This window comes from Homo sapiens, chromosome 2 (genome assembly GCF_000001405.40).
Source record: "Homo sapiens chromosome 2, GRCh38.p14 Primary Assembly".
NCBI lineage: Eukaryota > Metazoa > Chordata > Mammalia > Primates > Hominidae > Homo > Homo sapiens.
The window spans coordinates 209,934,479-209,952,750 of record NC_000002.12 but is presented as its reverse complement, the minus strand read 5'-3'; the positions used below and the strand labels follow the sequence as shown (position 1 = coordinate 209,952,750).

At 37.8% G+C, this 18,272-nt stretch overlaps 1 protein-coding gene across 3 annotated transcripts in view; it reads right to left on the bottom strand.

Annotated features, from left to right (window-relative positions):
* Positions 1 to 18,272, bottom strand: part of UNC80 (unc-80 subunit of NALCN channel complex) — a 227,465-nt gene that overhangs the window by 46,546 nt on the left and 162,647 nt on the right. For all 3 annotated transcript variants that reach the window (NM_032504.2, NM_001371986.1, NM_182587.4), the window contains 8 exons: positions 16,943 to 17,037; positions 15,818 to 15,907; positions 15,121 to 15,222; positions 13,099 to 13,279; positions 11,262 to 11,530; positions 9,237 to 9,371; positions 7,562 to 7,700; positions 6,808 to 6,904 (listed from right to left, as the gene is read on the bottom strand). In NM_032504.2, coding sequence (NP_115893.1) covers positions 6,808 to 6,904; positions 7,562 to 7,700; positions 9,237 to 9,371; positions 11,262 to 11,530; positions 13,099 to 13,279; positions 15,121 to 15,222; positions 15,818 to 15,907; positions 16,943 to 17,037 — 1,108 coding nt within the window. The remainder of the gene's footprint in view (positions 1 to 6,807; positions 6,905 to 7,561; positions 7,701 to 9,236; positions 9,372 to 11,261; positions 11,531 to 13,098; positions 13,280 to 15,120; positions 15,223 to 15,817; positions 15,908 to 16,942; positions 17,038 to 18,272) is intronic.

Here is an 18,272-nt window from a genome sequence, read left to right as displayed (position 1 = left end):
GTGGACAAAATTTTTAAAACACATCGAAGGTACCAGGTAGAAGCTAAGGCTAGCAGATATCTTTTGGAGGTACCAGACTTCTGGGAGAAAGAAAGCTTCTTCAGTTCATCCAGCCATTGTGCAGCACTCTTTTTTTTCCAGGCATCTGCTCGTTTGTAAATTGCTTAGGGCCAAAAGGCTAAGGAGAAATCCAAGCAGAAATGTCAGCTAAGAGCTATGAAGCTAAGCAGGATTTTCAGTAGCCTCATAATTGCGAGGAAATATATATTGGAGTTCAGGGACTTCCAAAGAGGAGTTAGGCCCATGGAAGGCTGATCCTAGCAGTGTGAAATAAATAGAACAGCCCTTACAAAGACTGAAACCCAACTTTAAATCAAATCAATCACACACTGAATTAAAATGATCTGCCCTACCACAATTGCTAGTCAGAGAGTAAAAATGAATCATTTTTGGAGGAAGATAACATCGGGTAGATCCTCAAAGCATTTCTAATTTTTTTAATGCAATATTCACTAGTCAAAATTACCCAGTCCTGCTAAAACCAAATGATCAAATCCAAGGAAAGGAACAGATGATATAAACAGAGCCACAAGTGATCTACATACTAAAGTTATCAGACACAGACTTTTATGAAACAATGACTAAAATGTTAAATAAGAGATAACAAAATGGAGAATTTCATCAAAACTCTGAAATCTATTAAAAAAGTGGAAATTCTAGAACTGAACACTAAAATATTTGAAATTAGAAACCTGAAAGGTAAGTGTTAATAGTAGATTAGACACAGGAAGAGATGAGTGTGAACTGGAATAAAGAACAATGGAAAACATCAAGACAGAACAGAGGGGAGAAATGATAGGAAATGCAGGAAAGAACATAAGAGACATATATAGAGCATGTGGTTAAGGAGGAAAAAATACATATACATAAATGGAGAGGGGAGGGAAAATGGGATAGAGGTAATATGTGAAGAGTTATTAGTCAAATTTTCTAAAATTATTGAAAGCTATCAAGCTTTATATTCAGGAAACACTATGAATCCCAAGAAGTATAAACACAAAGAAAAATCACAACTAGGCACACCACAGTCAAACTGCTTAAAACCCAAAGCAAAGAGAAAATCTTAAAAGTAGCCAGAGAAAAAGACACATTAGGGCAGGGCACGGCGGCTCACACCTGTAATCCCAGCACTTTGGGAGGCTGAGGCGGGCAGATCACGAGGTCAGGAGTTTGAGACCAGCCTGGCCAATACGGTGAAATCTCATCTCTACTAAAAATATAAAAAATTAGCTGGGTGTGGTGGTGCATGCCTGTAGTCCCAGCTATTTGGGAGGCTGAGGGAGGAGAACTGCTTGAACCCGGGAGGCGGAGGTTGCAGTGAGCTGAGATGGTGCCACTGCACTCCAGCCTGGGCGACAGAGTGAGATTCCATCTCAAAAGAGAGAGAGAGAGAAAAAAAAAGGACACGTTAAATTCAAATGTGCAATAAGATCTAATGCTGATTTTTCAACAGATATGATAAGTCAGTAGAAAATGGAATATTTTCTTTTTTATTTTATTTTATTAGTTAATTAATTTATTTGAGACAGGTCTTGCTCTGTTGACCAGGTTGGAGTGTGGTGGTGCAATCTCAGCTCACTGCAGCCTCAACTTGGGCTCAAGCAATCCTCCCACCTTAGCCTCTTGAGTAGCTGGGATCACAGGCATGCACCACCATGCCCCGCTAATTTTTGTATTTTTTGTAGGGACGGGGTTTTGCCATGTTGCCCAGGTTGGTCTCAAACTCCTGAAATCATGCAATCCACATGCTTTGGCCTCCCAAAGTGCTGGGATTCCAGGCGTGAGCCACTGCACCTGGCCTGAATATTTTCTTTAAATTAAAAAAAAAAATCCAGCTGGGTGCGGTGGCTCATGCTTATAATCCCAGCACTTTGGGAGGCTGAGACGGGTGGATCACCTGAGGTCAGGAGTTCAAGACCAACCTGACCAACATGGAGAAACTCTGTCTCTACTAAAAGTACAAAATTAGCCAGGTGTGGTGGCACATGCCTGTAATCCCAGCTACTCGGGAGGCTGAGGCAGGAGAATCGCTTGAATCCGGGAGGTGGAGGTCGCTGTGAGCCGAGATTGTGCCATTGCACTCCAGCCTGGGCAACAAGAACGAAAACTCCGTTAAAAAAAAAAAAAAAGCCAAAGGTAGAAAATAATAAAGATAAAAAAGGAAAGAAAAGGCAGACAATAAAACTACAATAGCAAAAATCAACAAAGCCCCAAATACTGGTTATTCGTAAAGGGAAAACTATTGATAAACTCCTGAAAAGAATAATAAAAAAAGGGAGGGAGCAAAAATTCCCAGTATTAGAAATAAAAAAGTGAACTCAATAAAAACCTCATAGTCATTAAAATTTTTTTTTTAAAAAAAGCATATCAGGAACAAATTTCTGTCAATAAATTTAGGTACTTAAATTAAATAGAAAAATTCCTAGAAAAATGTGACTTACCAAAGCCACCACCAGGATAAAGAATCTTAATTTTAAAATGTTCCCACAAGAAACCACATTACTTACAGTTTTGTGTATAAATTCTACTCAATATTTTGGGAAGACAAAATGCTCATCTGAGGCAGGCACAGTTCCTCTGCCTGTAATCCCAGCACTTTGGGAGGCTGAGGTGGGAGGAACACTTGAGCTCAGGAGTTTGAGACCAGCCTGGGCAACACAGTGAGACTTTCTTTATCTCTCAAAAAATCAAAAAACTTAGCAGGGTGTGAAGGCACCCGCCTGTAGTGCCGGCTACTTGGAAGGCTGAGGTGGGAGGATTGCTCGAGTCTGGGAGATCAAGGCTGCAGTGGGCCATGATTGTGACACTGCACTCCAACCTTGGCAACAGAACAAGACCCTGTTTCAAAAATAAAAAAAAGCTAATCCATACCAAATTTCTACAGAGAATAGGAGTTTTTAAAAAGGGGTGGGGGGCTGGGCGCAGTGGCTCATGCCTGTAATCCCAGCACTTTGGAAGGCCAAGGCGGGTGGATCGCCTGAGGTCAGGAGTTTAAGACCAGCCTGGTCAACATGGTGAAACCCCATGTCTACTAAAAATACAAAAATTAGCTGGGTGTGGTGGCGGGTGCCTGTAATCCCAGCTACTCGGGAGGCAGAGGCAGGAGAATTGCTTGAACCCAGGAGGCAGAGGTTGCAGTGAGCCAAGATTATGCCATTGCACTCCAGCCTGGGCAACAAGAGCAAGACTCTGTCTCAAAAATAAAAGAAAATTAAAAAGCGGGGGGTGGGTAGGAGAGACACTTTCCATTTCATCTTATGAGTCCAGCTTAATCTTCATATCCTTGATACTATAGCCTGACAAGGACTTTATAATAATGGAGGGTTACAAATACACCTGCTAAAACGTTTACCAGTGGGTAGTTAATAAAGTAGTAGCTAAGCAAGACATCCTTTTTGTTTAAGCACTTGTAACTTTTTTAAGTATCCAGAATTGGTTTATCTTGAATGACATAGAGCTACCTAGAATATCTCTTCTACTCCTAACTTCCCTGTGATCCTAGCAATAAAATTCATTAGATAAGACCTTTTTAAAGAATAAAAATTACAGACATAGCTCTCATTAACATAGTTGTAAAAATGCTAAAATAATTGCAAACCAAATCTAGCAATACTGAAAAATGATAATTATACAACCCAGTTACAGTTTATTTTTAAGGAGACAGGAAAGTTTTAATTTTGAAAATAAATCAGTGTAACCTATCACACTTAGAAAATAAAGAATAAAAATCATATAATCATCTCTATAAATAGAGAGGAACATTTGGTAATATTCATTATCCATCAATAAGAAAACTCAAACTAAACTAAGAATAGAAGGCAGACTCCTTAATAATTAATTTCTTAATGAGTAATAAAATTACTTCCTTAATCTTTACAGGTATATTACAACAAAATCCTTTAGCAAATACTATTCTTAGTGATGAAATATTGGAAATCCCCTCCATACCCCGGGATCAGAAATGAAACAAAGATCCCACCATCATCACCATCATCACTTCTATTCCATTTTGTATTAAGGTTCTAGCCAGTGCATTAAGGACAGAGAAAGGAATAATGTGTACAAGAATTTGAAAGGATAAAATACAACTCTCATGATTTGCAGATGACATAATTAATTAAATAGAAAACACTAAGAAATCACACATATAAAATAAAAAATACTGATAACTTCATTTAAAAATGGGCAGAAGACTTCAGTAGGCACTTTGCAAAAGGAGATGTCCAAATTTTGATAAACATTTATCTGAAAAGCTTCCAAACCTTTTAATTTGAAAGAGGAAAATGGAAATTAAAATGATAATGGATGTCACTACAACCCAACAAAATAGCTAAAATAAAAAGACCGAAGATAACAAGTGTTGATGAGGCCATAGGGTACTAGAACATTTACATACTGTTGGTGGGAATGAAAATTGAAACCACCTTGGAAAACTTTTTGGTAGTATCTACTAAAGCAAGAAATACTCATAGTCCATGACTTAGCCCAGCAGTTCCATCCATAGAAATGCATAAATATTTGTGTACAAAGACATATACAAAAACATTCATTGCAGCTTTATTTATAATACCTTCAAACTAGATACAACACAAATGCCTGATAACAAGAGAAGAAATAAATAAATTGTAACATAGTCATACAATTATTATGACTATTATAAGTGAATGAAAAAGAATCAACTACTGTTACACACATTTATATGAATGAATCTCATGAAATAATACTGAATGACAGAAGTCAGACATTAAAAAGTAGCTACTATACTATTTCAGTTAAACAGATTTCAGAAATAGGCAAAACTGATTTATCATATTAGAAATCAGGATAGTAGTGCCTCTATCTGATTTTTCAATCTGAGTGGTAGTTATGTAGATGTGATAACATTATGAACATTCATGGAACTGTAAAATTATGATTTTTTTAGTGTTTTATGTGAATGTTACACTTAAATAAAATACTTTTAAAAAAAATTAAGTACAACAGAGACTTGCTGTTACAAATGTTGAAGTCCTATAGGTATGTTACTTATTCCCATGAGAGATATCCCAGGGAACCACTACTTAAGAAACCCTGACCTTACTGAGACATCAAGATGTCATCTGGTTTAAACTGACAGAATGGAAAATTAGGAGGATTAAAAAAAATTCTAATTTAACTTAACAATATTAGACTTTGGCTTTTAACTCACAATGACAAGGGAATTTGATTGTGAACTCTAACACCTTTTGATTTCAATGTGTTTGAATTTTGACTTGAAAGAGAATTTTATGACTCAATGGAAATTTGGTAAAATTTGAAATGGGAGAACTTTTTAGTCAAACTTAGGTGTTCTCTATGTTGCAGGAATATTGGAGAATCTGTATGCATTTTATTATTGCAGTGTCTCAATTGCAGAATATCTGACATATCTGGTTAACAACGTAGCTGAACACACTTGGAATGGCAAATAGAGTAGAGAGAAGATGTTTACAATCACGTATAGAATGGATTTGGAGTTAACTTAATGCAGGATTTGATCCATTCTGGAACTTTTTGTAGATCAGTGGTATTATAGGAACAGCAAGAAAATGGGAGTAGGAAATCCCCTCCATACCCTGAGATCAGAAATGAGACCATCCTGCAGCTTTGTTCTCCTGAAGGCCACAGCCACATCCGTGCCTGACCACAGGCATACTGTTTTTCTCCCCATTGCTCCAGAAGACAAAAATTCGAGAATATTGGGGAAAACACTTCTTACTCATTCCTCATGTGTCCCTCCAGTAAAAAGAGTTCAATTAATATAAATCCCGCTCCTCCTGGCCCTTATTCATTCTCTTATGGGAGAGAGAAACAGGCTTAAGGTGCAGGGCAAATATATAAAGATATATTGGGCATAATCAGCTTGGCTCCTTCCTTCTTCCTGGAAGAGCTTGTCAACAGAGTACAACTTTTAATAGATCAGATTTAAATCTCAGACCAGAGCCAACATCTTTGAATTGGGATGACTCATTCTTCATGTGAGTCTTTGAATTCTCTGTACTTGGCAAAATGAAGGCAAGATTGATATTCTTGCCCTTTGTGTTACAGAAATTCTTATTGCCCCTTGAAAGGAGTTTTCTTAAATAAATATCTGTTATGAAATTTTGTTTGCTACTAATTCACATTACTTGTGAGGAAAAATATTTTCTAACAAGACTAAATACCTTAGCATCTGCACAAAATTCAAATTAAGGGATTTCAAATGAATGAAGATTTACTATTGTTTTCCAGAACCTATGCTATGTTTCCTAAACTTTGTTTCTTCTTTCCTTTTCTTTTTTCTTTCTTTCTTTTTTTTTTTTTCTGACAAAGTCTTACTCTGTTGCCTAGGCCAGAGTGCAATGGGACAATCACAGCTCACTGCAGCCTTGACCGCCTGGGATTAAGCAATCCTCCTGCCTCAAGCCTCCCAAAAAGTTGGGACTACAGGTGTGCAACACCACACCTGGCTAATTTTTAATTTTTTAAAATTTTTGTAGAGACAGGGTCTCACTATGTTGCCCAGGTTGGTCTCAAACTCCTGGGCTAAAGGAATCCTCTTGCCTCAGCCTTCCAAAGTGCTGGGATTATAGGTGTGAGCCACCACACCTGGCCTAAATTTAGTTTCTAAAAGCTTACTTGTCAGAATGTTAGTCTGATATTAATCAGCATAACCTTTGTATTCATTCAATTTTATTTTCTCTGCCATATTTACTTATCACAAGGCACAGAATAAAGGGCTGCAGATACCTTCTGAATGATTCGGGAGCATACGCCACCACAGTGACACAGAGCTTAATGGCTTCACTGATAGAAAATGTCAGATCTTCGTTTCCATAGCAGAAATCTGAAGGAACAAAAAGTAAAGGCAAACTATCAGAGTGGATTTTGCAGGAGATAAAGAAGCACCTATTACTCCTAATGTTATCATTCCAGTATATACTGTAGCCTTTTCTTGTTAAATTTTATTCCTACGCTGTGAAAACTATTAATTTCTTCATCTCAAGGGAACGAAATTCTGTTTTCTAGTTTTGAACAATCAGATGTAAAATAAAAATACTTTTCTGGAGTGTTTAAAAAAATCTCAGATAATAGAAGACACTGAAGGGCATTTAAATTGCCTAAGGTTGAGGCTTTACCCTGGAGTTATCTCTAGTTCTACACATTCCATGATAATAAAAGACCATTTTGGAGAGTTATTCACTTAGAATTACCCAAGATAACCCAACTTTCTGAAAACTGCAGTGCTACAGCAGTGGTCTACTGAGCATCATTTTAATATAGTTTTCATGGCAGAGAATTCCTTACTCTTTAGGATTCATAAGAAATTTAAGAAAAAAAATGTACTCATTCAATTTCTACTACTGTTCCATTTATTTTTGCTACTTTGATTTAGTTATATATACACACACATATAAATATACGTGTATGTGTGTATAATACATATATTTATATTTAACAACTGCAGTGAGAAAAAGAATGTCAAAGCAAGTTTTGCTTTTACCTAATGACTTGAGAGGCTTCTCAGCTTTGACCAGCTCTAAGATGTCTAATATGTCGGTGGTCTCTCCCTCTAGGGACTGCAGCAAGTCAAACAGGCACTGAGCTGACACACCTTTGCTGGGCCCATTATTGGCAGCATCCTGATAAAGAAAAACAATTTTTGTTTATTGACTCCCACCACAGTAAAACTATAACTTGACAGGAATTCAAATTTTATAAATGCTATTACCAGTAACAAGTACAACATCTACCTGGAATTCAGCTTACATAATTCTGGATCCCGCAATGCTGTGGTATGATTTTGGAGTGGTACACCTGACTTTTAAGGGATCTATTAAATTCTAATATAGAACAAAAGAGATATTTGTAAAAGCTCACAAAAATACAGCGATATATGAACTTCCAAAAAGTTCATATCAATGGTTCCTTTAATTGAAGATGGCAGAACTAAGAAAATTTCTATAATTGATTGGTTGAATACTACAAATATGTTTGCGGAATGTATGCTTATTTTAACTAACAACGCTGGGAATTTCACAGGTCTTCTTTGATAATGTATCTCCACATGGAGATACTTACAATTTTAAATCTATTTAAAATGGCTTTAAATAATTCACTGAAACAACAAATCCTTATGATGTTCTTCTGTGCCAAGCACCAGGCTACACACTGAGGTTATAGAAAACCAAAAACAAAATGCAAATAAAACAACGATACAACAATAACTAAAACCAAACAAACAAGCAAAGACAAAAGCATACAAAGGTCTTGCTTTCATGAAGATTAAATTCTGCTGGTTGAGTGTCGTAGAAATTCATGTTAATGAAACAAATAGATATAACATGTGATATGGTGGTAAAATCTCTGAAGAAAAAGAAAAACAAAGCAGGGTAGGTGGTAGAGAGTGACAAAAAGGAATGAAAATTGGGAAACCTTCCTTTTACCGTTTTCTACTTTCCATCTCTTTTATGAATTGAATATTTAAAAAACTGTAGAGTTGGTCTATTTATGTGTTAGGAGCTGAGATGAAAGCTGAAGAGGAATGTTGAAGAGAAATGATATGCTTGTTGAAAGAAATATTATTTATGGTATGCATGTCTCATTGGTTAAAGAAAGAGAGCTCAGAGACTGAATATACAAACTGTCAATGACTAAATCATATATAAAGATAGAACTTTGACCCACAACCTGCAACAACCTGCTCAGGAAACCAACCCATTGTCTACAATAACCAGCTCAGGAAGCCAGCCTAAGTCAGGCTTGTAGGAAGTCAGGCCACTACCTCCAGTGGTAACCAAACAATAACCTCTGTAACAACTGGCCCAAAGTAACCAGGACTGGCATAATAACTGAGAGCTTTCCTAATTTTTGTCCCTGCTTCCAACTTAGGACCAACCAGAGAAAGCCCAATATACACCCCTAACCCATCATATAAGATGCCCAACTACTAGTTAGTTCACCTGCAGCTTCCCCAGGCCAATAGCTCCAATCAGGACATACCTGAAGCTTCTCCTTTTTTCACTATACAGTTTTTCGACTCCTCTGCCTGCCTTTGCATCTCTGCCAAAACACAAGTGATGGTAGCCAACTCCCTTGCCATAGTAAGCTCTAATAAATAACCTTTGCTTTTCTCATTTTGTTGGTCTTCATTTTTTTTTCCCACAGAGCTTACTTACAGGAAATTCCAGGAGAGGGGCCACACTAGCAAACAGCTGGAGCACAAAGGGCTTCCGGTGTAGAATATAGAACTGGTGACAGGCAAATTCGATGGCTTGACGCAGCTGGGGATTGCTTTCATAGTCGGAGTACACCTATGGAAAAATGCCAGATATTCAAAAAATGCCTTAATGAAGTATCAAAGTTGTACTCGCTTTTAAAACTCATGGTCATGGGAAGCTTGGAGGGAAATGGCTAACTTTGTAAACTGGTAGAGAGGAATGTAAAATGGCATAAACTTTCTCTAGATAAATTTAGTAACACACCTCAAAATGCTGAAAATCTAAACATACTTTCTTTCCAGGAAGTTTGTGACTAGGAATTTATCTCAAGGAAAGGACTAGACACATGTATAAACATGCATACATAAGAAGGCCTGCTGCAAGACTGGCTATAACAGTGGAAAATATGAGACAAATTATTCATAAATATATCTTGGTTAAGTGAATTATGGTATATACAAATCATAGAATGCTGTGCAGTAATTTTAAAAATGCTGTAAGGCTAAATATAGCTATATAAAATGCCTATGATATTCTTAGTGTTATATGAAAAAACTAGGTTACAAACTTGAAAATATATAATTCTGGAGTGTGTGTGTGTGTGTGTGTGTGTGTGTAGGAAAGAGTGCCAGGATTTGTAAGTATAAACAATGATTACCTGGGAGAAAGGATTTTAAGTGAGCCTTATCTTTTCTTTAAACTTTCTCCATCTTTTGAATTTTGTAATGAACATAATCGCTTTTGGTAATCAGTAAAAAAAAAATACTTACTAAAAAAATAGAGAAAATTGCAACTATCTAAAAATGAGGAAGAGAGTCCTGTGATAGTAACTTTCTTGCCCCCATAGGTTGAGCAAACTTAACTTTGTATGTGTTGTGATCATAATTTTTATCAAAACTTCCTCAAAAATAGAGAACTAGGATGAGCCCCTGGGCCCTGCCTGATTTTATTTAGTACTCCTAAATGTAGCCAGCTATACATTAGACACGAGTAAATAAAAATTGTTCCTGCTAAATTACCTTCTCCAATCCCAACACACCACATTTACTGGGAATGAAAATCTCTATTCAGTTAGAGGTCAGGGAATCTCTCGGGAGAAACATCAGCTAAACACTTGCCATACATGTGACTCAAGAACAGAAGTTCTCAAACTTTCTAGGGCAGTGGTCCCCAACCTTTTTGGCATCAGGGACTGGTTTCATGGAAGACAATTTTTTCATGGACCAGGGTGAGTGCGGGGGATGGTTTCGGAATGAAACTGTTCCACCTCAGATCATCAGGCATTAGATTCAGGAGCATGGAACCTAGATCCCTTGCATGCACAGTTCACAATAGGGTTCCAGCTCCTATGAAAATCTAGGGGTGGGGGTTCCTTACAGGCCACAGACCAGTACTGGTCCCTGGCCCGGAGGTAGAGGATTCCTGTTCTAGGGCATCAAAACCATTTGAAGGTCTTGTTAAAAACACAAACTACTGGGCCCTGATCCCTGAGTTTCTGATTCAGTAGACCTGGATGGGCTCCAAGAATGTGCATTTCTCTTTCTTTAAAACTTTTTTTTGTTTTAGAGATGTGGTCTTGCTGTGTTCCCCAAGCTAGTCTTAAGCTCCTCACTTCAAGAGATTCTCCCACCTTGGCCTCCCAAAGTGCTGGCATTACAGGCGTGAGCCACCACACCTGACCAGAATGTACATTTCCAACAAGTTTCCAGTTGATGCTGATGCTGCTGGCCCAGGGACTACAACTTAAGAACCACTGTCCTAGACGAAATGGGAAAGCATATCCCAAGTCTGGGGCTCTCAGAGTAGAAAGGAACATTGTGAACTCTTGCAAATTTATGGGGGGATTTCATTTGTTGCCTTCTGTTGTCACAAAAGAAGATGATAACACCATCATTAAAAAGTTTCAGTATAGATCTAGTTGAACGGCTAGATATGAGCAGTACTCATGTTAATTTTCTGGTTGGGAGAGGAGGTTCTGGGCACCTGCAGCATGGTGGGGAGAATCCACTGGTAGCCGCTGAGAGAGAAGAGGTGGTTGAAGTGCACCGCGGTGTTGATGACGGTGGCAGCATACTGCCTGAGCAGGGCACTGTCTTCCGGGTGGAGGATCAGAGCCCCGTTAAAAACGTTGAGGAAAAGCATGATTTCGTCTCCCCATGGAAACTCGCTCGGCATGCCCAGGAACATTTCCTCCAGCAGCTGGATCCACAAGCTTTTCTGAAGAGTGTCGAGGCCAAACAGTTCCTTTCCAGCTGTGAGAACATGAAACAGCAGAGACAGAATTAGCCCCACACCAATCCTGTCAGCATGAGAGGTGATCAAACCCAAGGCGCTGCTGTTCTCCGTTTGTTCCAGCTCCAGGATGTGAAGATCTACTGCTGAAATGTTTTCCAGCACAATATTACTGGCCTTGATACAGCACTTCCTTTTCTCCATGAACTTTCATCATCACCTCTTTAACTAACTGTGGGTAAGGCAGAGCAGGCATTGGCAGTGTTTTACTGCTAAATAAACATCTGTTGGAGAAAAATAAATTATTTCAGCTAGAAAATAGCAGGGATGGGACTACTGCTTGGTCTTTTAATTAATGGTCAGAGGCTAGAGCTCTATCTACTGCTGAAGCTGAAGCGTTTTGTTTTTTGTTTTTTGTTTTTTTGAGATGGAGTCTCGCTCTGTCGTTCTGTCTGGAGTGCAATGGCGCAATCTCGGCTCACTGCAACCTCCATCTCCTGGGTTCATGTGATTCTCATGCTTCAGACCCCTGAGTAGCTGGGATTACAGGCACCCGCCACCATGCCCAGCTAATTTTTTTTGTATTTTTAGTAGAGACAGGGTTTCGCCATGTTGGCCAGGGTAGTCTCAAACTCCTGACCTCAAGTGATCTGCCTCCCTGGGCCTCCCAAAGGCCTGGGATTACAGGCATGAGTCACCTTGCCCAGCCTGTCTGAAGCTTCTGGATGAGGGCGATAAAACATAGAGATGCTAATTTAAGTAAATTGTCTCAAATTAATAACTGAGTAACAGAGCGAGGCTCCAAAGTGGGTCTCCTTCTGTGTCTCTCTTTCTCTCAATTGAGGTATTATTTAGAGTAAAATGCACAGATCTTTAGAGTTCATTGAATTTTGACAAAAATATGCACTATGCACTCATGTAGACAACATTCCATCAATATACAGACCATTTTCATCACCCTTCTGCCCCTTTCCAGGAAATTCATTCCCTCCAAATCCAGAGGCAACCACCATTCTGATTTCTGTCATTCTAGATGAATTTTGCCTCTTTTTGAACTTCACACAAATACCCGGTCTTTGTTTAGTCAAGTATTCTCATACCCTAACAACACCATCCTACCCACGCTTCAACTGCTGATGACTAGCTTAGAGCAGTGGTTCTCAAAATGTGGTGCTTGGGATAGCAGCATCAGCATCACCTGAGAACTTAATAGAAATGCAAACTCTTGAGCCCCATCCTGAAACCCGGAGGTGGAGCGTGGGGCCCCGCAATCTGTGTTTCAACAAGTCCTTCAGGGGTCTCTTGTGCACACTCAGGTCTGAGAAGCACTGGTTTTACAGCACTGTCTGCTGATTCAGATGCTCTCCATTTGAGAACAAAACAAGTGCGTTTAGGAGATATACCTAATGCTAAATGACGAGTTAATGGGTGCAGCACACCAACATGGCACATGTATACATATGTAACAAACCTGCACGTTGAGCACATGTACCCTAAAACTTAAAGTATAATAATAATAAAATTTTAAAAAAAAACAACAAGTGTGTTAGAAAAAGCCCCAGAGAGGCAATGTTTCTTTGTTTGATACCTTGAGGATCACTGAAGAGTGAAAACTCAGCATCAATAGCACTACGAGGGAATGAGGGCAGGCGGAGGAGGTCTTCCTGAAGCATGGAGACGTGGGACTGTTTGTGGGCTGTGGGGATCTTCTGGGTTAGGGAGATGAGAAACAACACCCGCCCTACTTCTTCCAGCTTTCGGGTGAACACCTGGAGAAAACAAAAGCAGGAGCAGACAAAAAGGAGTATTAGAAACTCCAGATTTATAGACTGAAAAAACTAAAGGAAAACCTTTAATGGCAAACTGGGTTGATAAAGTCGGAAAAGGGGAAAAAGTGAAATGAGGGAGACATGTGTTTTTATCCTTTACCACAAGCAAGAGCAAACAATTCTCAATTGCCTCTTACTTCCTTCTGCCTGCTTTACAGAAGGAAATGTTCCTTATGGAGTTTTAGGCTGGAGAGGAGCATAAGGCAAGCATTGTCAAGATTAGTTCAATATTAAATAGAGCCCATTTGTTTGGATGCTATAATATGGAAGACCTTCACTAACAGGGTCAGTGAGTCAGTCAGTTCCATTGCCACCAATGCCTGAAGCTGTTTCCTGGGAGTTCCGGGTTTGTCTTTAAAAAAACAAAGACTGATGTGAGATCCAGGAAAACCCTATCTTGGGACAGAAGCTCATAGGTCCTTGATTGGTGCTCTGAGTTTAGAGGGCATACACATGGGGCTCTTGGTTCTTAGGTCCTTTTCTCTTGATGATTAGGAAGTTTATATGCAGTGAGTAGCTACTGAGGAAACTTCTGAGCCAGACTCATAGGCCTCCATGTTATAATCTCCCTGAGGAACTTAGAAGTCTTAAGGCTCTAACTTGAAGTGTACATCAGAGCAAGAACTCCATTTGATGGCATTCTTTGAAAACTTGTTCTTAAACATGATGAATAGACACACACACACACACACACACACACAGAGAGAGAGAGAGAGAGAGAGAGAGAGAGAGAGACAGAGACTAGGCAAGCACCATTATTGATTAGGGTTTCAATTATCTTACCCCAAAATCATGGGCTGGGGTAATTTGAGGAGAATTGTTTTAGGAATTGTTTATATTTAAGATCTAATAGTTTTGCCCAACATCTCACACCTTGCAACACATTTAGTATTTTCTTTCTTTTAAATAGAATGTCGGTAGTTAATTGTAGCTATATTTTTAATTACTTAAGTGGTCTAATTCTATGCGATGCTCACCCATTTCATGAAGATATTTTTGGATATTTTGAAGGCAAATTATTATCCTTGATATGTACAGAAAATTGAAATGATCAAGTATCCTGAAATTCTTTAAAGATTTTATTTAAAAATGAATGTAATAAATATGCAATATTAAAATTGTATCATTTTTAGAATTGTGTACTAAAGCTATATTTTGCATGCAGAATAGTGACTTTCCTTAAGCTCAAAGTTTGATTTGAGATTAAATGTGAATATTATTCTGTTCTTCAACCTTAAACCTAAGTACAGCTGCTAGACTATATCTCTTCCTGTTTCAAGAGAAATTAATAACATGCCCAAGGTCAGATCCCTGGTCAGAGGCAGAACTGGGATGAAGTCCAAATCTTTGAACTTTAGTTTAATGCTTTTTTTTTCAAGCATACTAGAGTGACCCCTTTTACTGTGTAGCCAGCTAGTGTAAACCACTGGGATAATTTACATAGCTACATTATGTGTATTTCCAATCCAATTTTACAGAAATGTGAAATGAAAATCTACATATAGAAAATAATAGGTAAATAATTAGGAGATTTCTATTATTTATACTCAATAATTCATCATTACACTACTCCAAGTGAGTGTTTCTTACTACCTTTAAGCAATGATCCAATTTGTAAATCTTACACTATTTAGGGGAATAATTTGTTGAGTGAGGGCCAACTACTGTCTCCAGAGAGGGTCAAAATGGAATCATAAAATCTCAAAGTTGGCAAAGTATGAACAGATATCTACTCCAACAACATGACAAAACCATGGAATAAAACTGACGTGGTCTGTCACCTGTTTCTGAATGAGCTCCTGTCCCTTCTCTGGATGCATATGTACAAGATTCAGCTGGGGAGATACTGACCTCCGGAAAGGATAAATATCTCGAACATAGGTCTGTGTGGATTACATAAAGAGACAAAAAAAAGAGTTCAAAAGATTAAACATCTTTTCTCATTTCTTCTTTACCCAAAGATCTAAGCACTAGGATGCTATGCCAGGAGAAAAGCAGCTAAAGGCAATGTACTAAACAACACTCTGGAAGATCACTGTAAAGTGATGTCAGCGAGCATCCTGAGGCCCTTCTGCTCATTAGATCAGATCAGCATGGTCTTGTTTAACATGGTAGAAAAGAGATGCAAAACAGCATTCAAATTCCAAATAGACACACACAGGTATTATACGGGCAACGTAATTTTTCATGTAATAATGATCAATACCTAAGTGTCTTATCTAGCTTATCTCATTTAACTATTACAACTGCTCTAGCATGGATACCATTATCATTACCTTCATTTTACACACAAGAAAACCAAAGGGTAGAAAGGTGAAGTCGCCAGTCAAAAGCCCCATTGATAGTAAGATGGTGTGACCCAGGTGGCCATACTATTACCTTCTAAACAGCGATGCCTCCCTGACTGTGAGCCACCCTCAGGTAGGCATGATAAGCCTTTGGCACAACTCAACGGGGATGTCACTACTGGTGTCTCACCTTATTGTAGTGGATAAGGTTCCATCGTTTATCCATAAGAAAATAATGTGTTGACTGGGATTCTGGGATATTAAAAAACTCCAGACACTCCTAGAACAATAGCAACAAATTTTAATAAATGTTTATCAGGAAGATATTATGTGCTAGGTAGTAAGGTGACAGATACAAATTTTGAAAAAACAAGGTAACCTCTTACGAGAATTATCTGTATATATTGATGTCTTATGTAAACTGTATACGTTAGATATGTGTGTGTGTATATGTGTATACACATACACACACACATATATATATACACATATATATACACACATACCATGGCTGCATATATACCCACACAGAGCTATCCAAAGAATGGTACGATAAAGACTGATAATGTGATATGGACCATCTGATCTCATAGTGCCCAAAGATGTACAATTATAATTCAGACTGAGTGATGGACTGTGGAGGAACAGTGGCACCTACTGGTCTCAGCATCAGGAAGAAAGCATGTTTGAGAAACACTTAAGAATAATATAAACTATCATGCACTGTGCACATTATATACTATATACTAGGCATAGATAACTTGTATAACCTGAACTAGTATCTCAGTACTGTTGAAAATGAAACTGAGACTAGAGAAGTCTTATCACTTGATTTAGGTCACACTGGTTGTGGTGAAGGCAGCGTTTGAATATACTCTGTTTGCCTTCCTGCTATCCTACCATTCATCGTGAGTATAAAAATGGAGTATTTGTTGAAGTTGGGCCTTAGAAATTCTCTGGAGATGTCTGAATGAGGACAAAAGGAGTAGTAATGTCCCTTTCTACTGAAATAAGATGCACGAGTTTGGAAAAGTTGATTTTTTTTCCAAAGGTCTCTTCTACTTACATCTGGGCCCAGAACTATGTTCCTGAAAATCAGATTACTAAAAGTTTACTGACTAAAGTCAGTAGAAGTGGGGAAAATTATGGAAGGAAATAGCATAAGGAAATAATAGTGGGGCAGATTTTAGAAGAGTAAAGAAATGCATACATCCATTTAAAGACAGAAAAATGCCATTTTATTCTAAAATGGATCTTCAGTGAGGTGGCCATAGCATTGTCCTTAAAAATTGTTTCTGTTAAAAGTCATTCCTACCTTCAACAGGGCTTCAAATTGAGTGTCTTCATGGACTGGTAACTGGGTTGGGATATCGCACTCATTCTGTCCATGAACTACCAAGGTTTTAGTACCTACAGATGATAAAAATAATAACAAACTGACTTTTACTATAGAAAATTTGTATTTTAAAGCATAAAATATTAAAATATTATCAATAAGCTGATGTTTTTACTGTTAATTACAATTCTTAATTCATAGTTACATATATATTTTATTTATTTTTAACCTGGAAATTTAAGATTAATATACATATATTTTAAATATATTCACTTATTAAAAGTGATAGGTATGGAGTTCCCAATACTTTTAAAAAATTTTTATTTTTAGTAGAGACGAGGTTTCGCCATGTTGTCCAAGCTGGTCTCAAACTCCTGACCTCAAGCAATCCACCTGCCTCGGCCTCCCAAAGTGCGGAGATTACAGGAGTGAGCCACCGCGCTAGGCCAAGTTCTCAATACTTCTACCTGTCTTTTACATGCATAATTGTATTTAAATCTCATAGCCACCCCATGATGTGGGTGTTATGATTTTTTATCTTACAAATGAGGAAAAAGAGAAATGGAATAACTTAAGAGACATATTTATTTAGTGGAAGAGTTAGAATTCAAACCTCAAGCATTTCAACAAGTAGTACATCCCTGTTTTCTAGATGAGGTGACCAGGCAATAAAAGTTAAGAAAATATAAACAGGGATATTAGCAAAACCAAAACATGTACTTGAAATGTAGCTGAAAGCTACATTTTCTGTATTCTTCTTGGCTGATGGAGACAATATTTATTCTACTTCATTCATTAATTACAAATCTTTGTGAACATTATGATATACCTCAATTTTTAGTGAGTTGTTTTTAAGTATGTTAAAAATAGGAGTTTCTTTGCTGTAATAAAAACTGATCACTTTTTTTGGATAATCTACAGAACCTATACATACACAATTCCCATTCATCGAATGCTTATCATGAGCCAGGTATGGCAGCAAGTATTTCACATATCTCAACTCATTTATTCCTCACAATTGTGAAGTATGAATTATATCCCTATTTTATACACAAAGAAAGAAAGCTTTGAGAAATAATGTACTTCTTCACAGTTAATACTAGTTATGTGACTAATAAATGACAGTGCTATGATTTAAACACAGGCTTTTTTGCTGCGAGAACCTGTGTTCTCATCTCTACATAATTCTGTCTTTCACTTCTATTTCAATACATGTATCATCTCAAATTTTCTTAGTCACTGCACAAGGATAAAGAATTGTCCAAATCTTTGTCTTAAGGCAAAACAAGCTATCCGAAGTGAAAAGGAA